Source organism: Homo sapiens, chromosome 12 (assembly GCF_000001405.40).
Source record: "Homo sapiens chromosome 12, GRCh38.p14 Primary Assembly".
In the NCBI taxonomy this organism is placed as follows: domain Eukaryota; kingdom Metazoa; phylum Chordata; class Mammalia; order Primates; family Hominidae; genus Homo; species Homo sapiens.
In genome coordinates this window covers 121,250,663-121,272,873 of record NC_000012.12, presented here as the reverse complement: position 1 = coordinate 121,272,873, position 22,211 = coordinate 121,250,663, and the positions used below count along the sequence as shown (strand labels likewise).

The window sequence follows — 22,211 nt, the reverse complement described above, 5'->3', positions numbered from 1 at the left end:
TGAGACAGAGGGTTGCTGTGTTGCCCAGGCTGGAGTGCAGTTGCGTGATTTTGGCTCACTGCAACCTCCACCTCCCAGGTTCAAGCTATTCTCCTCCCTCAGCTCATGAGTAGCTGGGACTACAGGTGTGCACCACCATGCCCAGTTAATTTTTTTTTTTTTTTTTTTTTTTAAGTAGAGATGGGGTAATGCCATGTTGGCCAGGCTGGTCTCGAACTCCTGACCTCAGGTGATCCACCTGCCTCAGCCTCCCAAAGTGCTGGGATTACAGGCATGAGCCACTGTGCACTGCCAAAGGGGCTGATTTTGAAGGGGCTATAGGGACTACATTTTGAAGGCCAGGAAAAACTTTCATAATTGGAGATGAAAATTGGGCCCTGGAGAGTTGAGAGGAGGGAGAATTCACAGCATGAGCCAAAAACAGAGCTAGGACCTATGAGCAATGGCTCCTTTTTAGCTTAGCTTCTTTCACAGCATCATGATTTTGAGATTTATCCATGTTGTGGCGTATATCTGTAGTTCCTTTTTATTGCTGAATAATTTCAATTGTATGGACGTACCACAGTTTGTTTATTCATTTACCTGTTGAAGGACATTTGGATTGCTTCCAATTTTTTATTATTACAACTAAAGCTGTTATTAATATTTATATGCAAGTCTTTGTAAACACATTTTCACTTCTATTGGGTAGAGTGGCCTGTGGTACGGTAGATGTTTGTTAAGAAACTGTCAAGGCCTGGTACAATGGCTTATGCCTGTAATCCCAGCTACTTGGGAGACTGAGGCGGGAGGATCACTTAAGACCAGGAGTTTGAGACCAGCCTGGGCAACATAGGAAGACCCATCTCTACAAAAAACAAAATAGGCTAGGCCCAGTAGCTCACGCCTGTAATCCCAGCATTTTGGGAGGCCAAGGCGGGAGGATAACCTGAGGTCAGGAGTTAGAGACCAGCCTGGCCAACATGGAGAAACCCCATCTCTACTAAAAATACAAAGAATTTAGCTGGGCGTGGTGGTGGGTGCCTGTAATCCCAGCTACTTGGGAGGCTGAGGCAGGAGAATTGCTTGAATCTGGGAGGCGGAGGTTGCGGTGAGCTGAGATTGTGCCATTGCACTCCAGCCTGGGCAACAAGAGCAAAACTCCATCTCAAAAAGAAAAAAAAGCCAAAGTTTTAATTTTGGTGAAGTCCAATTTATCATTTGTTTCTTTTGTCTGTACCTTTTTTGTATTATCTAAGAAACCCTTGTCTACCCCAAGGTTGCACAGACTTGCTTTTCTTGTATCACTTTATGTTTTTACAGGACAATGTAGCCAAGGATTACTTGTTTGATTTAAAATTTACTTTTTAAAAGTAGGAACAACCTTCTTTAAAAAATGGGTTTTACAAGAGTCCACAGTGTGTGGTTACATTTTGACAAAGTACAACAAGCAAAATCAGCGTTGTTAGAAGTCAAGAGAGTGGCCACCTGGGGGAGGGCAGAGGTGCGAGTGGCTTCTGGGAGCTGGGGATGTTCTCTTTCTTGATTTGGGTTCTGGTTACCTGTATGTGTTTAATTTGGAGAAATGTATCTAGTTGCAAACTTTTTTTTTTTTTTTTTTGAGACACAGTTTTACTCTTTTGCCCAGGCTGGAGTGCAATGGTGCAATCTCCGCTCAAGCAACCTCCACCTCCTGGGCTCACGCGATTCTCGTGCCTCAGCCTCCTGAGTAGCTGGGATTACAGGTGCCCACCACCACGCCTGGCTAATTTTTATATTATTAATAGAGATGGGATTTCACCATGTTGGCCAGGCTGGTCTGGAACTCCTGAACTCAAGTGATCCTCCCACCTTGGTCTCCTGAAGGGCTTGTAGGTGTGAGCCACCGTGCCTGGCCTCTAGTTGCAAACTTAAAATTCATTTTGCACGTGTCTCTCCTTACTCTCTAGGACTGTGTGCAGCTGAATCAGTATACCCTGAAGGATGAAATTGGAAAGGTAAATATCCCTGGGGCTAGGCTGGCTTTCTGCATTCACCAGGGGCGTTCAGATACTGTGGAGGGAACGGGGTAAAGCTGGGAGCAGGAGAGGAGTCTTTGAAGGCGAGGTTGGTGGAGAGGGTTTTGTCATTAATGATCTAGGTTTTTGGTTTAGTTTTGTTTTCTTGTATCTTAAAATTAAATATGTTTCTGCAGAAGCTCAGAAAGCTTCCAACGAAATTCCATATCGCCTTGGTGATAGTTACATCCCCAATACATTTGGGGTTTTGTTTCACCCCGAGGTACTCTGACATCTAGTTTTGCTTTTGTTTTAGCTAATGGGGGGTATCATCACCATGGTCAAAACTCCAAATGCCAGTAGAAAACAAGTAAGTAATATAAAGGAGTGAGGCATGCCAGCTGTAAGGTAGTAGGGAGTGGTAAGGACAGTGGCAAACCATTAACATATGGAAATGAGGGCTACATATAGCTAGATCTTTCCATTTTTTCAAAATAAACTAGGAATCTTGATTTTTTTTTTTTTTTTTAGACAGGGTGTTGCTCTATCACCAAGGCTGGAGCGCAGTGGCGCAATCTCGGCTCACTGCAACCTCTGCCTCCTAGGCTCAAGCGATTCTCCTGCCTCAGCCTCCCAAGTAGTTGGGAGTACAGGTGTGCACCACCACACCTGGCTAATTTTTGTAATTTTTGTAGAGACAGGGTTTCACTATGTTGCCCAGGCTGTTCTCAAACCTGACCTCAAGTGATCTGCCCGCCTCGGCCTCCCAAAGTGCTGGGATTACAGGTGTAAGCCACCTTGCCTGGCAAGGAATATAGATTTCTATATCAGACCTTTCTGTTTTTTTTTGAGACTGAATTTCACTGTGTCGCCCAGGCTGGAGTACAGTGCCGAAATCTTGGCTCACTGCAGCCTCTGCTTTCGGGTTTAAGTGATTCTCAAGCCTCAGCCCCCTGAGTAGCTGGGATTACAGGTGCCTGCTACCATGCCCCGGCTAATTTTTGTATTTTTAGTAGAGACGCGGTTTCATCATGTTGGCCAGGCTGGTCTCAAACTCCTTAACTCAAGTGATCCGCCTGCCTCGGCCTCCCAAAGTATTGGGATTACAGGTATGAGCCACTGCGCTCCGCCCAGATCTTTCTGTTTTTAAATCTTGGCAACTAATCCAAACTTTGTAAAAACCTGGGCTCCAACAAAATACAGTTGCGGGACAGATTTGACCAATGGGCTGCCGGTTTGCAACGTCTGTATTAGGGTTCTCATTTTGCAGATCTTAACTTCTGGATAGTATGTCATGGGCATCTCCCTTTATCCAGGGCTCCTATGGTGTCGTCAAGTTGGCCTACAATGAAAATGACAATACCTACTATGTGAGTATCCGCATTCTCCTCCCTGCCCCCATCCTTATCCACAGAAGAGCCTCCTTTCCAGCACTCAGCTTCCTGGAAAGTTTTCCTAGCTGTTGTCTCATTTTATTCTTAGGTCATGTTTATTTTGTGCCTTAGGAAGGAAGTGGTATGCCCATTTTACAGATAGGAAAATGGGGAGGTGAGGGGATTGGCCCAGAAAAAGTTACTCATTCAGCAAAAGGCTTTTATGCCCTTCCTCTGAGCTGTCATCTCTGCATCCTCCATAGTATTGAGAACAAGGCAGCAGTGAGACAGGTGTCTGTGTGGGTGGCTTTGGAGTCAGTCCAGCGTAGTTTTGAACCTGAATCTATCGTGTGCCAACCATGTGACCTTGACAAGTGATATTTCTCCATGTGTAAAACAGCTGAGCCTCAGTTTCCCCATGTGTAAAACAGCTGAGCCTCAGTTTCCCCATGTGTAAAACAGCTGAGCCTCAGTTTCCCCGTGTGTAAAACAACCAGTCCTGCCCCTCCTTTGCCCATTGCTCCAGCTCACTTGTGTTTTGATTCGATGGCAGCAAGTCCTGAGGCTCGTGGTTTCCCAGCTGAGAGAGGCGACCGTGAGCCTCAGGAACACCTCAGAGCTGGAGGCACCCCAGGAGTCCAGCCTCCCTACAACCCCATGGCTGCTTGACCCTCTCTGGTAATGAGGGGCTCACTCTGTTGACCTGAGCCTGCCAGGGGGCCAGGAGCTTGGGCCGGCTTTGGAGTAGAGGAACCCCGACTGCGCCCTCCTTCCCCTTTTCCTCCCTGCTTTAAACAGGACCTGGCTAAAGGTGCTGTCCTTCATTTTCCTGCAGGCAATGAAGGTGCTGTCCAAAAAGAAGCTGATCCGGCAGGCCGGCTTTCCACGTGAGTTTGGCGGGCCTTTGTTGTTAGGTACAGGGGCTGGGACAAGACAGGGCAGAGCCCCCTGAATGGGAACCATTGCACTGGGCATGGTGCCACATGCCTGTAGTTCCAGCTACTTGGGAGGCTGAGGCACAAGAATTGCTTGAACCTGGGAGGAGGAGTTTGCAGTGAGCCAAGATCGCACCACTGCACTCCAGCCTGGGTGACAGAGCAAGACTCTGTCTCAAAAAATAATAAAATAAAAATATTTATTAAAGTTATATAGGTATCAAGTCAAAAAATCCAATAGAGGAAAACACTGGCAATTCCTCAAAAAGTTAAACATGGTGTTACCGTATGACTCAGTAATTTCACTCCTACTTATATACCCAAGAGAACAGGACATCCGTGTTCACCTAGGAGCTTGTATGTGAATGTTCATAGCAGGTTTAGCCACAATAACTAAAAAGTGGAAACAGCACACACGGCTTCAGAGAATGAATAGAGTATATATGCATCCAGTGGAATATTCATCCATTAAAAGTAATATGAATAGAGTATATATATATATATATGCATCCAATGGAATATTATTCAGCCATGAAAAGTAATGAAGTACCAATTCATGCCCCAACACAGAGGGGTCTTGAAGACATTATGCTAAGTGAAAGAAGCCTAACACAAAAGCTCACATATTATGTGATTCTGTTTATGTGAAATACCCAGAATAGGCCAATCCATAGGAACAAAAGTAGATTTGTGATTGCTGGGGGCTCTGGGGAACAGGGGAAATGAGGGGTGAATGCTGATAGATATCAGATATGTATATAGATATTTAGGGAGGCATTGAAAATATTCTGCAGTTGGCCGGGCACGGTGGCTCACACCTGTAATCCCAGCACTCTGGGAGGCCGAGGCGAGTGGATCACTTGAGGTCAGGAGTTCAAGACCAGCCAGGCCCAACATGGTGAAGCCCTATCTTTACTAAAAATAGAAAAACTAGCTGAGCGTAGTGGTGTGTGCCTGTAATCCCAGCTACTCGGGAGGCTGAGGCAGGAGAATTGCATGAACCAAGGAGGTGGAGGTTGCAGTGAGCCGAGATCATGCCACTGCACTCCAGCCTGGGTGACAGAGCAAGACTCCATCTCAAAAAAAGAAAAAAAAATATGCAATAGATAATGGTGATGGTTGCACAACCTTGTCAGCACTAAAAACCATTAAAATACACATTTTAAAATGGTAAATTTAGCAGGGCACGGTGGCTCATGCCTATAATCCTAGCACTTTGGGAGGCCAAGGTGGGTGGATCACGAGGTCAGGAGTTTGAGATCATTCTGGCCAATATGGTGAAACCCTGCATCTACTAAAAAAATACAAAAATTAGCCAGGCATGGTGGCATGCATCTGTAAATCCCTGGCTACTCGAGAGGCTGAGGCAGGAGAATCGCTGGAACCCAGGAGGCGGAGGTTGGAGTGAGCTGAGATTGCGCCACTGCACTCCAGCCTGGACGACAGACTGAGACTCCATCTCTCAAAAAAAAAAAAAAAAAAAAAAGATAAATTAAAAAAATTTAAATACCACGAGGTATTTGAATTATATCTACCAAAAAAAAAAAAAAAAAAAAAAAAAAAAAAAGGCCAGAGCACAGGAGGGCTCATCATGGAGACCAGTTTCTTGCTGACCTCTTTCCTTCTCCTATAGGCAGCCTTGGCTTTTAGCACTTTTAGTTGCTGGTAGCTCCTGTGTGTGGTCAGATGATAGGCTGCAGGTGAGAGTATCAGAGGCTGCTTCAACATAAGCTCCCTGCCAGCATTGCTGGGCAAAATGTCAGCTTGGGCCAAAAAGAGAAATTAGATAAGAACAAACAGCCAGGCATGGTGGCTCATGCCTGTAATCCCAGCACTTTGGGAGGCCGAGGCGGGTGGATCACGAGGTCAGGAGTTCAAGATCAGCCTGGTCAAGATGGTGAAACCCTGTCTCTACTAAATATACAAAAAAGTAGCCAGGCATGGTGGGTGCCTGTAATCCCAGCTACTCGGGAGGCTGAGGCAGAGAATTGCTTGAACCTGGGAAGCAGAGGTTACACTGAGCCGAGATCGCGCCACTGCACTCCAGCCTAGGCGACAGAGCGAGACTCCATCTCAAAAAAAAAAAAAAACCCATCCTAACAGTAGGACCCTGGTTTATCCTGCTTATCCAAACGCTGCACCAGGTCATAATCCTCACGTCACTATTATCAATTTTTGACATCTGCTTCTGGCTTCTTCCAGTGACAATAGAGGATTTCGCTTGCTTAAACACTCCTTCTTACCTCTTGTCTTAACAAAATAACAAATGGTGTCCTGTAACAACGTACGAGAGACTGGGTGGCTTAACCTAACCGATATTTATTTCTCACACTTCTGGAGGCTGGTTCATAGTTAGCACCATCTCAGGCCGGGAGCGGTGGCTCACGCCAGCACTTTGGGAGGCAGTGGTGGGCAAATCACTTGAGCCCAGGAGTTTGAGACCAGTGTGGGCAATGTAGTGAGACCCCTGTCTCTACCAAAAATTTAAAAATTAGCTGGGCATGGTGGTGTGCACCTGTAGTCCTAGCTACTCGGGAGGCTGAGGCGGGAGGATCCCTTGAGCCTGGGAGTTCAAGGCTGCAGTGATTCTTGATTGCGCCACTGCACTCCAGTCTGGTAGACAGACCCTGTCTCAAAACAGACAAACAAACATAGGTAGTGCCTTCTGACCGCATCCTTACATGGCAGAGGGGCTAGACAGCTCTTTGGGGTCTTTTTTTTTTTTGAGACGGAGTCACAGAGTCTCACTCTGTCACCAGGCTGGAGTACAGTGGTGCTATCTTGGTTCACTGCAAACTTCACCTCCTGGGTTCAGGCAATTCTCCTGCCTCAGGCTCCCAAGTAGCTGGGGCTACAGGCGTGCACCACCACACCTGGCTAATTTTTGTATTTTTAGTAGAGACGGGGTTTGGCCAGGATGGTCTCGATCTCCTGACCTCATGATCCACCCACCTCGGCCTCCCAAAGTGCTTGGATTACAGGCCTGAGCCACTGCGCCCAGCCTGAGGTCTCTTTTATAACAGCACTAATCTCATTCATGAGAGCTGTATCCTCGTGACCTACTCTTCTCCCAAATGTCCCATCTCCTAATACCATCACGTTGGGGATTAGGTTTTGACATATGAATTTTGGAGGAGCACAAACATCCTGACCGTAGCACCTCCCTTTCCCCAGCAGGCAGTGGAACGCTCTCCTGATGGTCAGCTCCTCTGTGGACACACACTACCACTTTCCCCTCTCTCCAGCTATATGACGCGTGTCTCCCACCTCCCCACACCCTCCCTTTTCCTTTGGACTCAGCTTTCCTCCTTTCACATCCTCCCTCTGACACCTGTACTTCTGCCTTTGCTTTTCCAAGGCCGATCACATCCCTGTTCTATTCTGTTAGTCACACTCAGAGCCTTACTTACATGGGATGTGTGCCATCGTGAGGGTTTTCACTGTGGGTCTGTACATCCTTGTGACTGCCTATTGTTTACTGCAGGATCAAGCGGTGGCCTGAGTGCCTCTCCTTTCTAGATAGCCTTTTGTTTTTCTCTCCCGATGCTTGCTTCTTTTCTTCTCCCTGGCTTCATTTTACATCAGTGCTATTTAGTTTTTGTTTTTTTTGTTTTTTGTTTTGATAGGGTCTCGCTCTGTCACCCAGGCTGAGTGCAGTGGCATGATCACTTCTCACTGCAGGCTTGATCTTCCTGGGCGCAGGTGATCCTCCCACCCCAGCCTCTTGAGTAACTGGGACCACAGGCACGTGCCACCATACCTGACTAATTTTTTGTGATTATTATTATTATTATTATTATTATTATTATTATTTTTGAGACTGAGTCTTGCTGTGTCACCCAGGCTCGAGTGCAGTGGCGCTATCTTGGCTCACTGCAAGCTCCGCCTCCCAGGTTCACGCCATTCTCCTGCCTCAGCCTCCCCAGTAGCTGGGACTACAGGCGCCCACCACCACGCCCGGCTAATTTTTTGTATTTTTAGTCGAGACAGTGTTTCACTGTGTTAGTCAGGATGGTCTCAATCTCCTGACCTTGTGATCCACCCGTCTCGGCCTCCCAAAGTGCTGGGATTACAGGCATGAGGCACTGTGCCCGGCCCTAATTTTTTGTGATTTTTATAGAGTCAGGGTTTCGCCGTGTTGCCCAGGCTGGTCTTGAACTCCTGGGCTCAAGAAATCCACCCGCCTCAGCCTTCCAAAGTGCTGGGATCACAGGCATGAGCCATAGCGCCCAGCCAGCCATCTGTGCTATGAGTTAAGGAGATAAGAGTTAATGTTTATGTCCATTTTATGGACTGCAAAAACTGAGCCCAGAGAGGGGAAGTGATTGACTCACCCTGGGTGTTGAGATTGCTGAGCTAGACTGCAGTTGCCTCAGCACTCCTGCCTTTCACTGTGGACCAGGGCATGGACTGGGGATGTGACGGGAAGGAGGGAATTCACAGGACGGCCGAGGGCTCCGCCCTCACTCACTTCCAGCAGCAGAGGAGACAGAGGAGTAGAGGGTTAGTTAAAGCCCCTGGTGGCAGCAGCCACTCCAGCCCTGCAGAGTGGCTTTTTGGCATCCCACCTTTTGGCATCCCACCTGCAGCTGCCCTCTGCGGAGGAAAGTCTCTTTGCCCTGACCCTGGGTCTGTTTTTGTTTCCTTCAGGTCGCCCTCCACCCCGAGGCACCCGGCCAGCTCCTGGAGGCTGCATCCAGCCCAGGGGCCCCATTGAGCAGGTGTACCAGGAAATTGCCATCCTCAAGAAGCTGGACCACCCCAATGTGGTGAAGCTGGTGGAGGTAAAAGGGTGGAGGCGCCCAGGAGGGAGGGAGGCCCTGGCTTTGTTAATACCCAAACACCCCGCCACTGGTTTCCAGGGAGAGCCAGGTCACACCAGACCGCTCACTGCAGGGCTGAGTTGTATTTACTGCTCCCTAAGAGTATTTGTTACTCACATTAACTATTTTTTCTCTTCTTTCTTTTGCCTGCTTTGTTTTTCTGTCAGATATTTATTACTCTCATTTTACGGACAAAGGAATTGAGGCTCAGAGGGATCCCTTCACCCATTTCTGTCTCTTTGAAGCTGGTTCTCTTTCTACTTACACATATGGGTAGTCATAGCGCAAAAGCAGCCACACACATGATGTAAACAAATGGCATGGCTGTGTTCTAGTAAAACTTTATTTACAAAAACAAGTCCGGGTGCACTGGCTCGCGCTTATAATGACAGCACTCTGGGAGGCCAAGGTGGACAGATCACTTGAGATCAGGAGTTTGAGACCAGCCTGGCCAACATGGTGAAACCCTGTCTTTACTAAAAATACAAAACAAACAAACAAACAAACAAACCAGACAGAGGGCTGAATTTGGCCCACATGCTGTAGTTTGCCAGCCCCTGCTCTAGATCAGCCGTTCTCATACTTTTTGGTCTCAGGATGCCTTTGTACTCGATTAAAAATACAAAAAAATTAGCTGGGCGTGGTGGCGGGTGCCTGTAATCCCAGCCACTTCAGGAGGCTGAGGCAGGAGAATCGCTTGAACTGGGGAGGCAGAGGTTGCAGTGAGCTGAGATCACGCCATTGCATTCCAGCCTGGGCAACAAGAGTGAAACTCTGTCTCTAAAAAAAAAAACTTTTTTTGAAGACCCAAAAGCACTTTCACTTATATGAGTTATATTTATTAATATCTACCACATTATAATTTAAAACTGAGAAAATTTAAACTATTAATTATTTAAAAACAATAGGCTGGGCACGATGGCTCACGCCTATAATCCCAGCACTTTGGGAGGCTGAGGTGGGAGGATCACCTGAGGACAGCAGTTTGAGACCAGCCTGAGCAACATGGTGAAACCTTGTCTCTACAAAAAATTTAAAAAATTAGCCCGGTATGGTGGTGCACGCCTTTGGTCCCAGCTATTCCGAAGGCCGAGGTGGGAGAATCACTTCAGCCCAGGAGTTCGAGGCTACAGTGAGCCATGATTGTGCCACTGCACTCGAGCCTGGGAGACAGAGTGAGACCCTGTTTCTAAAAAAGAAAAGAAAACAATAAGCTTATTGCGTATTAACATGAGTAATACATTTTTTTTTTTTTGAGACGGAGTCTCACTCTGTTGCCCAGGCTGGAGTGCAGTGGCACAATCTCAGCTCACTGCAACCTCTGCCTGTTGGGTTGAAGTGATTCTCCTGCGTCAGCCTCCCAAGTAGCTGGGACTCCAGGTGCCCGCTACCACGCCTGGCTAATTTTTTGTATTTTTAATGGAGATGGGGTTTCACCGTGTTAGTCAGGATGGTCTTGATCTCCTGAACTCGTGATCCAGCCGCCTTGGCCTCCCAAAGTGCTGGGATTACAGGAGTGAGCCACTGCACCCGGCCGAGTAATACATTTTTATGAAAAATAAAAAGTAGAAGAGTGGCTTCATTTTTCATTTTTGCCTTTTTTTGGGTTACTGTTTGGTTTGATAGGAGACATTTGGATTCTCATCTCTGCTTTTGCATTCAATGTTTTGTGACATCACATATCATCAGGTTTCTGGAAAACCCTGTAGACTAGTGGAGAATGATAGTCAAAAAGGCAAATACTGTCTTCGTTTTAAAGTGAAAATAGTGAACCTTGTAAACTCCATGAAGCATCTTGGGGATCTGCAGACATCTCCAGATTGTGTTTGGAGCACCTCTGGTCTAGACGACAAGGACTTGTCACCGTGCTGGATGTTCAGAGTGCCATGGGAGTACAAAGCGGGGGCAGCCAGCTCACTGGGAGAAGCTGGGAGAGGCCTCTTAGAGGAAGTGATGTTTGAGATGGCCGTGGTGGTTCCTGGATGAGAAGTCACGGAAAGGCATTGCAGGGCAGGGAGCTGCATGTGGAAAGGGCTGGAAGCCTCTGTTTGGGGGAGTACATGGTGCCTTCGGGAGATGTGAGGGCTAGCTACCACTTTGCCTGGGACTCATCTGGTGCAGAACTCTAGGCGGACAAGGCCCTGGGTGTGCCTTCCCCACAGGGCATGGCTCAGGGCTTCAGGCTGCTAGCCCAGGCTCTGCCTAGGGTGCCTCCCTTTCTTGGGGCCTGTTGTCTTATTGATCTTGGGTGACTGGAGAAAGCGGACGTGATGAGGGAAGAATCAGGGGGACTAGTCTAGCCAGGGAGGCTGCATTTGTTTCTTCCCAAAGAAGAGAGATAGCAGTTGCAGGCCATCACCACCGGTCACACTAAGTGACACAATCTCGACTCACTGGTGCTAGAGTTGGCCATTTTCCAGGAAGCCCAAGGGCATTTGGTTAGCGAGGGGCCCTGGGTCCTGGCAGGGTGTCTTTTCTCTCCGCTGCCCTATGGCATTTGGCCTTTTCACCCAACAAGACTCTTTGCCAGCCCATCTGTTTGTTCATTCATCAGATATTCCCTGGGCACCTTCTGTATGCCGTGCCCTGTACAGGACGCCACCGAGGAAATCAAGGTGGATGTAGCCTGATGCCTGCCCTTTGGAGAGAGAGAAAGTGCTGTGGCTGTTCTGGGCAGGGAGACATCATTTCCTGTGGGGTTAGGGGCAATGGGGAGGCTTCGTGGAGTCACTTGAGCCCAGATAGGATTTGAATTTTCACCCTGAACACCGTTGTCTCCTAGGAGCTGGGTTGGATTCTTTTTTTTTTTTTTTTGAGACAGAGTCTTGCTCTGTCATCCAGGCTGAAGTGTAATGGCGTGATCGTGGCTCACTGCAACCTCTGCCTCCCAGGTTCAAGCGATTCTCCTGCCTCAGCCTCCTGAGTAGGTGGATTACTCAGGCATGCACCACCACACCGGACTAATTTTGTATTTTTAGTAGAGATGGGGTTTCTCCATGTTGGTCAGGCTGGTATTGAACTCCCGACCTCAGGTGATCCGCCCGCCTCGGCCTCCCAAAGTGCTGGGATTTCAGGCATGAGCCACTGCGCCCAGCCGGAGATAGGCTGGATTCTTATTCAAGCATGAGATATTTCCAGGGGAGTATTTTGGCCCCTCCCTTTTGCGACCTCCTGAGTGTTCAGATCCTCGAGGATCAGACAGAGAGGCATTTATTTTCCGAATAGCCATTAGGATCTCACACTCTGGGGGTTTTCCCTATCTTCCATCTTAACTGGGAAACACGCTGCCAAATGCAGCCCTCCTGTTGGCAAACGCAGCCACGTGGATGCTGCCTCCTCCCTGCTCATATCTATTCTCTCTTTTTCTCCCCCGCCATCCGTCTCCTGCCTATTCCATGTGGCTGTGCCAAGGTCCTGGATGACCCCAATGAGGACCATCTGTACATGGGTAAGGAAGCCCTTTTCTTCTGCCACCCTCACCCAGGCACCACACCTGCCAATGCCCAGGGGTCCTCTCGAGGCAGCCTGTGCCCTGGCACCTTCCACCAAAGACAGCTTTCCCTTTCCTGGTCCAGCTGGCCCCACCGGAGGCCACACCCCTGGTTGGGATCAGCAGGTGGAAGGGAGTTCTTGCTGGAACTTTATCTGATCCTATTCATTCATTTGCATGTATTTATTTTTTTTGAGTCAGGGTCTTGCTCCGTTGCCCAGGCTTACAGTTCAGTGGTGTGACCACAGCTCACTGCAGCCTTGATCTCCCAGGCTCAAGTGATCCTCCCACCTCAGCCTCCTGAGTAGCTGGATTATAGGCATGGGCCACCATACCCAGCTAATTTTTAAAATTTTTCTAGAGACAAAGTGTCACTATGTTGTCCAGCCTGGCCTCAAATGCCTGGGCCCAAGAGATCCTCCTGCATTGGCCTCCCAAAGCATGTATATATTGACAACCTCCTATATGGTGGGCACTGTTCTAGGTGGTACACAGAAAAAAGGTAGAAAAACAATTTTATATTTAATTTAACATTGTATAGGAAAAACTATAACCAGCACCCCAAACTCATAGTTTCATGGATATTATCATCTAGGACAAGGCTAAAAAATTAAAAACTGAGTCAATTTAAAGAAAAACATTCAATAAATAATTGATGTGGCATATAGGTATGGCCAGATTATAAACATAGTAGGCAAATAAATGAAGTTTGGGGAGATACAGCAGAAATCACAATATGCCAAAAGTCATTTTAGCCCAGAATGGCATTCTTAGCGTAATTCTCTCACTTGGGACCCCAGATCCAGGTCAGAATGGCTTTGAGCTCTTTCTGAGGCGTGCCTTTGTTCATTCAACAAATGTTACAATTTGTCAGACCCTGCTGTAGGTTCATCAGGGACAACATTCAAAAACCCCTGTCCTTGGGGAGCGCACCTGAGTGTGATGCGTGGGTTTTGAAAGCGACAACACCGTAACAAAACAAAAACCCCGAGCAGGACACGAGGGGCTGCTAGTTTTGGGTTGGGGGATGGAGAAATACAGTGGCTCCCCAGGGAATGTCTCACCAAGGTGACATTTGGGCAGAACAGCAGGGACCAGGTGGCAGAAGGTATTTTACAACATTGTAAAGAACTTGGATCGGGCACAGTGGCTCACCCCTGTAATCCCAGCGCTTTGGGAGTCCGAGCGGGTGGATCACCTGAGCTCAGGAGTTTGAGACCAGCCTGGGCAGCATAGCGAAACCCCGTCTCTACTAAAAATACAAAAATTAGCTGGGCATGGGGGTGTGCACCTATAATCTTGGCTACTCGGGAGGCTGAGGCACGAGAATCACTTGAACCTGAGAGGCGGAGGTTGCAGTGAGCCAAGATGGCGCCACTGCATTCCAGCCTGGGCAACAAAGTGAGACTGTCTCAAAAAAAAAAAAAAAAAAAATTGGCTTTGACTCTGAGAGTGATGGAAGCCATTGGGGGGTTTGAGCTGACGGGTGGAATGAGAATAAAGAGAACATGGTCCAAGCCTCAAAGAAGAGTTTCGTGATCTGCTTGAGCTGGGCAGCTGCAGGGATAGTTTTTCACAACTCGAGGTGGCAGTTGCAGAAAGCCATGCTAATTTGGGGTATGTGATTCCAGTGGTTTTGAAAATCCTGACACGGTTATATTTTACTTTCCAGCCACAGCCGTGTGAGACTGAGACAGACAGGGCAGTGCATGAGGCCGGGTAGTAGGTATCAGAAAGGGTCTGCAGCTACAGGCCTGACATGCAAAGGGCAGAAAACTCAGTCCAGGTGCGGTGGCTCATGCCTGTAACCCCAGCACTTGGGAGGCTGAGGTGGGAGGATTGCTTGAGGCCAGGAGTTTGAGGCTGCAGTGAGCTATGATTGTGCCACTGCACTCTAGCCTGGGCGACAGAGTAAGACCCTGTCTCAATAAAACAAAAAAAGGTGGAGGAGGGGGCTGGGTGTGGTGGCTCATGCCTGTAATCTCAGCACTTTGGGAGGCCAAGGCAGGTGGATCCCCTGAGGTCAGGAGTTCGAGACCAACCTAACCAACATGGTGAAACCATGTTTCTGCTAAAAATACAAAATTAGCCAGATGTGGTGGCACATGCCTGTAATCTCAGCTACTTGGGAGGGTGAAGCAGGAGAATCACTTCAACCTGGGAAGCGGAGGTTGCAGTGAACCGAGATCGTGCCATTGCACTCCAGTCTGGGTGACAGAGCTAGACTTTGTCTCAAAAAAAAAAAAAAAAAAAAGTAGAAAACTCGATCTCTATTTCTAGAGGTTAAAAAATTCCCACCCACTGCTCAGCCCCAAAAGTGGTTGAACTGTTAGCGACTGAAAATAGACCTGTTTCAACAGGCCACCCTCCCTCATGCCACCTGATTTATGGTGCTTGGGTGGGTGGGAGGATGGTGCAGAAATTCATGAAGCTTGCAAGTGAAGACTTAAATAACCAAGGCAGGAAAGGCCAGAGCTGAGGGGGCCAGCGCTGGGTTGTCTGTAGAAGCTGTACCTTAGCAGCATTGCCTTTGTTTTTAACTACAGCCTGAAGCAATAGCAAATCTGCCCTAACTCACACTGGTTGATGAAACTGAAGATGGGGAAGGCCTGGGAGAGTTCAGTTCTTTTCCTGATCAGAACCTTTAAGCCTTCTTTTTGTCTGAGTAGCTTCCCTGTTCCCCTTGGCCACCTCAGCCCTTGGAGAGCTTTGAAACAACCCTTTGGTTTCATTTTTAAAAAATTTTTTTGCCTGTAACCCCAGCACTTTGGGAGGCCGAGGTGGGTGGATCACCTGATGTCAGAAGTTCGAGACCAGCCTGACCAATACGGTGAAACCCCATCTTTACTAAAAATACAAAAAATTAGCCGGGTGTGGTGGCAGGTGCCTGTAGTCCCAGCTACTCGGGAGGCTGAGGCAGAAGAATCGCTTGAACCCAGGAGGCAGAGGTTGCAGTGAGCCAAGATCGTGCCACTGCACTCCAGCCTGGGCAACAGAGCAAGACTCCATTTCAAAAAAAAAAAAAAAGTTTTTTTAATTTTTGTGGGTACATGGTAGGTGGATATAGTCATAGGTTACATGAGATGTTTTAATACCGGCATGCAGTGCATAATAATCCCATCATGGAAAATGGGGTATCCCCTCTGGTTTCTATTACATGCTCATCTCATTGTGGGTGTATGATTCCAGAACAACAAGCAACCCCAGAGTCATCCTCCACTGGATTTTGAAATCGACTGTGCTCTTTTTTTTTTTAACTTCCTAAAGTACAGCCTTGTATTCCAATTTATGCTTGTCATAGCAGAATCAAATTAAATAACTATACCACGTGACCCAGAAATTCCACTCCTAGGTATATACCCAAAAGAACCAAAAACAGATATCCACACATGAACATATCCATGTACACGAACGTTCATTGCAGCACTTCCCAACAGCCAAAGAGTAGAAACAGTCCATATGCCCCTCAACAGATGAATGGACAAAGAAAATGTGGTCTATCCATACAATGGAATATTATTCAGCCATTAAAGGGAATGAAGCACTGATCCATGCACCAGTGTGGATGAACCTTAAAAACGTGCTAATGATGCTAAGTGAAAGAAGCCAGACACAAAAGGCCACATAGTGTACAATTCCATTTATATGAAATGTCCAGAACAGGCAAATCTATAGAGACAGGAAACAGATTGGTGGTGGCCAGGGGATTGAGGGAGGGAAGAATAGGGAGTGACTGCTAATGGGTATGAGGTTTTCTTTTGAGGTGATGAGAATGTTCTGGAACTAGATAGTTGTGATGATTGCCCAAAATTGTGAATATACTAAATGCCACTCAATTGCACGCTTTAAAATGGGTAATTTTATGTTACGTAAATTTCATCTCAAAGAAATTTTTTTTTTGGGACATTCTTGCTCTGTTGCCCAGGCTAGAGTGCAGGGGTGCAATCTTGGCTCACTGCAACCTCCGCTGTCCAGGTTCAAGTGATTCTTGTGCCTCAGCCTCCCAAGTAGCTGGGATTACAGGCACCTGCCACCACGCCCGGCTGATTTTTGTATTTTTAGTAGAGATAGGGTTTTGCCACGTTGGCCAGGCTGGTCTCGAGCTCTTGACCTCAGGTGATTCGCCCACCTCGGCCTCCCAGAGTGTTGGGATTACACTGGCGTGAGCCACCGTGCCCAGCCCCCTGCCGTGTTTTCTTTGACCAGTGGATCCTGGGCCAATTTGAGCACTAGAAGTCAAGCCAGACTGTGGGCCTGGGGACGTCAGAAATCCCTGGTTCTTTGCCTTCTGATGGAAATTTAGCAAAGCAGGACCTTGGCCAGCTTGGTTCAGTGGACTGTTCCTCTCCCCAGCTCTAATACTAGTTTCTGTCTTTCTTGGTGTTTCTGGAGGTGGTTGGGAGGTGGGGAGGACAGAGAGAGATGGATGTTCAGTTTCCCATGTAACAGTTTCACCCTTTTCTTCCCTACAGTGTTCGAACTGGTCAACCAAGGGTGAGTGTCCCAGCTCCCAGCAGGGGTGATGCAAGAAGCTTCTGTAGCTGCATAGCTGAGTGAGGTGCCACTGGGCTCTGCTCATGAGAGAGGGCAAGGGCTGGCGGGTCTGCTTTGTGTTTCACATGAGTGTCGACCTTTCAGGCCCGTGATGGAAGTGCCCACCCTCAAACCACTCTCTGAAGACCAGGCCCGTTTCTACTTCCAGGATCTGATCAAAGGCATCGAGTACTGTGAGCAGGGCCTGCGGGAGGGCTCTCACCCAGTGGGTAGTTAGCATTCTGAGCGTGGGTGCAAAGTGGAAAGTGTCTTATTTTCTTCCTGGAGCACAGGGAGGTGGGCGGGTGGATTGGGGTCCTCTAGAGGGACAGAACTAATAGGAGATACATATATATATATAAAATTATATATATAAAATTATATATATAATTATATATATAAAATTATATATAATTATATATATATAAAATTATATATAAAATTATATATATAATTATATATATAATTATATATATATAAAATTATATATATAATTATATATATATAAAATTATATATATATAAAATTATATATATAATTATATATATAAAGGGGAGTTTATTAAGTATTAACTTACACGATCACAAGGTCCCACAATATAGTCTGTCTGCAAGCTTGAGGAGCAAGGAGAGCCCATCTAACTCTCAAAACTAAAGAACGTGGAGTCTGACGTTTGAGGGCAGGAAGCATCCAGATAGGAAAAAAACATAGGCTGGGAGGCTAGGCCAGTCTCACCTTTCACGTTTTTCTGCCTGCTTTATATTCGCTGGCAGCTGATTAGATTGTGGGTCTGCCTTCCCCAGCCCACTGACTCAAATGTTAATCTCCTTTGGCAACACCCACACAGACACATCCAGGATTAATACTTTGTATCCTTCAGTCCAATCAAGTTGACACTCAGTATCAACCATCATAGTGGGAAACAGAATTGTGTGAAATGCAGAATCAGGGCCAGCTGCAGAGAGCCACCCTATGGCCATGGTCCAGGCGAGCCAAAACCCTTCTTCCTGCCACTTGGCAAAATGAAGAGCAGTAGCAATAGTGACTATTTAGCACTTTCTATGTGCACCAGGCACTGTTTGGGGCTCTATTTTTTTTGTCTCTTATTCCTCCCAGTGACCCTGGGATCAGGGTCCTGTTCACCTCCTGGAACCTTAGCTTCCTCATCTGTAAAATGGGGATAACATATCTCTCACCAGGGCTGAGATCAGCCAGTACACATCAGTGGTTTGATTGGCAGGTGTCCTTTCTGCTTCTGCTTGTTAAACATCTTAGCTCTTTTTTTCCTTTGAGATTCTTGCCCTGTTGCCTGGGCTGGAGTGCAGTGGCGCGATCTCAGGTCACTGCAACCTCTGCCTCCTGGGTTCAAGCAATTCTCATGCCTCAGCCTCCCAAGTAGCTGGGACTACAGGTGTACGCCACCATGCCCGGCTAATTTTTGTATTTTTTGTAGAGATGGGGTTTCGCTATGTTGGCCAGGCTGGTCTTGAACTCCTGACCTCAGGTGATCCCCCTGCCTTGCCTCCCAAAGTGCTGGGATGACAGGCGTGAGCCACCGTGCCCGGCCACCACGTTATCTCTTATCCCTGCCTGTCACATAGGATGGTTGTGAGGTTTAATTAAATGTAAAATGTGAATGTGAAACACAACGCAGGGCCGGGCCCCTCACTTGGTGCTCTGCTGCTGCTTTCACTGAAATCGTCTTCATCATCATCATCACCCCAGAAATGGCAGTTGGGTCTTCCAGGCCATAGAACTGTCCTGTACCATGGGCTGATATCCAGCCAGGAGGAGTTAGCCAAGCCCCGAGTTCTGTGTGTGGTTCACATTTCAAATCGGCCTGCTCAGGTCATTGTCGGTTTGGTAAATCAGTTGAGTATTGGCTGTTGGTAAATGAAACTATGTTTCACTGTCAGTTTCACAACTAGCTGTGAGCCAAGCCCAGCAAAAACTTTCCATGCACTGTCACTTGTGACTTAATAAATAACAGGCGATTACGAATTGCTATTGGCAGTGTTTTATGTGTCATTGTTGAGAAGGGGTGGGGTGATGGTGGGCTGGGACTTCCTTGAAGACACTTTTCCCCTCATCTTTTAGAGCATGTCAGTGCCCAGCGGGTTTGGGGAGTGGAAGGTTGGAAAAGGCCTGGGGCTGTGGGAGACAAGGCATCAGAGGGGTGCCATGCCTGTGTCTCCAGGCCATGTGGCCGCATAGAGGTGCTCACGAGGTTTTCCTGCCCCTATCTCCCACCTGCTGTCTACGCCTCCCCAGTACACTACCAGAAGATCATCCACCGTGACATCAAACCTTCCAACCTCCTGGTCGGAGAAGATGGGCACATCAAGATCGCTGACTTTGGTGTGAGCAATGAATTCAAGGGCAGTGACGCGCTCCTCTCCAACACCGTGGGCACGCCCGCCTTCATGGCACCCGAGTCGCTCTCTGAGACCCGCAAGATCTTCTCTGGGAAGGTAAGCTTGGGCCTGCCTCAGCCACAGAGTTCTGCCTGTGTTAGTGTCTTCTGGATTGTAAGCAGCAGAAACCCAACGCACACAGGCTTAAACAGTGAATCCCCTGGATCAAGATACTGAGGGGTAGGCTTCAGGCTTGGCTAGATCCAGGGACTCAAACAGAAACCATCTCCCGCCATCTTTCAGTTGTTTTTCTTATTTGGTTTCCTCCACAGGTGGGTCAGGCACCCAGGGACCAGGTTACTTTCTATCATTTGCCAACCTCAGTGGCAAGAGCATTCCTCATTCTGAATAGTGCCTGTGAAAACCCTGGGGTTGGCTCTGATTGGCCCAACATGGGTCATGTGCCCATGCTTGAACCAATCACTGTGGCTGGGGGTAGTGGTGCTCTCATTGGCCTGGCCTGGATCCTGTGCCTGCCCCAGAGCCTAGGAGACAAGATTGGTCCCGCCCCAACTCCAAGGGCTGAAAGTCAAGAGGTGGTTCCCCAAAGGAAAACTGGAGGATTGGAGGCTGGACCACCCCTTATGCCCTCACACTAAGCTCTTTTTCTTGCAGGCCTTGGATGTTTGGGCCATGGGTGTGACACTATACTGCTTTGTCTTTGGCCAGGTAAGAGGGCGGGGTGTCTGTCCCCTCAGTACTGCTGGGTGGCCCCTGGGTTAATAGTCACCCTTGCGGGGAGACAGTACTTACTTATTTAAGAGTTATTTTAGGCTGGGCATGGTGGCTCACGCCTGTAAACCCAGCACTTTGGGAGGCTGAGGCAGAGGTTAGGAGTTGGAGACCAGCTTGGCCAACATGGTGAAACCCCGTCTTTACTAAAAATACAAAAAATTAGCCAGGCGTGATGGCGCATGCCTATAGTCCCAGCTACTCTGGAGGCTGAAGCAGGAGAATCGCCTGAACCCAGGAGGCGGAGCTTGCAGTGAGCTGAGATTGCACCATTGTATTCCAGCCTGGGCAACAAGAGCGAGACTCCGTCTCAAAAAATAAAATAAGAGAAGAGTTATTTTATTTCTACACCTAGATCTCAATGTGAAAAAGGATGCCTTCCTAAATATACATGTGTATGTATGTCATGATCATATCTATGAAAAAATGATCTGTTAAAACAGAAGGATTGGCAGAGGCTCTAGAGTTTATAAATAGTTGATAAATTTAGGGCAAGGACAGCAGTTCTGCCACCTCTCCCATTTCTGAGCCCAAGGCAGACATCACTAATCAATAACTGTGCTCGTTCCTCCTGAGCCTGATACTGCTCTGATGTTCTTTCCGTCAGGGTATTCCTAGAAGCTTTTGTCAGAGGGGTAGCATTGGAATGGAAGTTAAAAGCTGTTTACCATTATTGATTTAGGGAGTGCTGTTTGGGCTTTTCTGTTGTTGTTATTTTGTTATTATTGATATCTGGGGGCTTCTCTCTCTATTTTTTTTTTTTTTTTTTTTGAGATGGAGTCTTGCTCTGTCACCCAGGCTGGAGTGTAGTGGTGCGATCTCGGCTCACTGCAACCTCCGCCTCCCGGGTTCAAGCCATTCTCCTGCCTCAGCCTCCTGAGTAGCTGGGACTACAGATGCCAGCCACCACACCCGGCTAATTTTTGTATTTTTGTAGAGATAGTGTTTTGCCATGTTGGCCAGACTGGTTTCAAACTCCTGACCTCAAATGATCTGCCAGCCTGGGCCTCCCAGAGTGCTGGGATTTGGGATTACAGGTGTGAGCCACCACGCCTGGCCTTCTCGTTTTAACTCTGAAGTTCAGTTTGATTATGTGAGCAATAAAAACGTAGATTTTTCCCTTTCCTGAGCTTGTGTTCTTATTGAGGAAAGCCTAAGAAACTGGTCCCATGAAGAAGTAAAGGAGTTTATACCGATTGCCTCTCAATATTTGATTAGAAAATTTTTCAATCATGTAGCAAAGCTGGAAGAAGTGTCCAGTGAACACCCACATACCCACCACCTGGATTCTACTATATTAACCTTTTCCTGTGCTTGTCTGTTCATTCCTTACCCATCCCTCAGTCCATCTGGTTTCTTAATGTATTTCAGAGTAAGTTACCACCATCTCCACTCTTCCTTCCAAATGCCTTAGAAGGCAGTGATTAGGTAGAGCTCAAGTCACTGCTCTTAATGAAATCGTTTTCCTTAGACGGGTGGTTCAGGTACCTCTCTGCCACCTTCTCCAACATTTTCAGTGTCCCGTGTAAGGATTCCTTTTCCAGCACACATGACCAAGCTGCTCTTGAGTCAGGCCCTCAGCTGGGTGAAAGCATCGATTTGTCACCCAGAAGGTGGTGCAAAAATAGGCTTCAGAGTCAGCTGAATCTAGGCTTAAATCCCTCTTCGTACTTCCTGGGACACATTATTTCTCTGAACTTCTGTTTTTCTCTTCTGTAAAATGAGAATACTACTTATTATTTCTGATGACTTCTGAGAGGATTGACAGAAATAATTCAAGTATCCATTAATTCAGCAGATATTTATTGAGCCCTTACTTTGTGCAGGAACGCTCCTAGGCACGGAGAGTCCGCAGTGAGCAAGACAGCCAGAAATCCCTGCCTTCTTGGAGCTAACGTTCCCGTGGGAGGGGTTAAACAATAAACAAATCTGTAC

The 22,211-nt window shown here is 47.5% G+C and overlaps 1 protein-coding gene across 24 annotated transcripts in view, besides 1 other annotated feature; it reads left to right on the top strand.

The window, feature by feature from the left end:
- CAMKK2 (calcium/calmodulin dependent protein kinase kinase 2) overlaps window positions 1-22,211 on the top strand; it is a 60,128-nt gene that overhangs the window by 24,946 nt on the left and 12,971 nt on the right. For 22 of the 24 annotated variants that reach the window (NM_153500.2, NM_172216.2, NM_153499.3 and 19 more), the window contains 9 exons: window positions 1,929-1,976; window positions 3,293-3,346; window positions 4,185-4,236; window positions 8,935-9,068; window positions 12,519-12,555; window positions 17,070-17,091; window positions 17,236-17,324; window positions 19,402-19,601; window positions 20,160-20,213. In NM_153500.2, coding sequence (NP_705720.1) covers window positions 1,929-1,976; window positions 3,293-3,346; window positions 4,185-4,236; window positions 8,935-9,068; window positions 12,519-12,555; window positions 17,070-17,091; window positions 17,236-17,324; window positions 19,402-19,601; window positions 20,160-20,213 — 690 coding nt within the window. Of the gene's footprint in view, window positions 1-1,928; window positions 1,977-3,246; window positions 3,347-4,184; window positions 4,237-8,934; window positions 9,069-12,518; window positions 12,556-17,069; window positions 17,092-17,235; window positions 17,325-19,401; window positions 19,602-20,159; window positions 20,214-22,211 lie in introns of those variants that run through there. The other 2 variants (XM_011537764.3, XM_047428109.1) reach the window with 2 other exon arrangements.
- Window positions 16,781-17,281: an enhancer, noted in NCBI's record as "H3K4me1 hESC enhancer chr12:121693396-121693896 (GRCh37/hg19 assembly coordinates)". NCBI's record gives its function as "activates a minimal SCP1, AML or CMV promoter by ChIP-STARR-seq in naive H9 embryonic stem cells {active_cell/tissue: H9 hESC(naive)}" and the evidence as "EXISTENCE:reporter gene assay evidence [ECO:0000049][PMID:30033119]".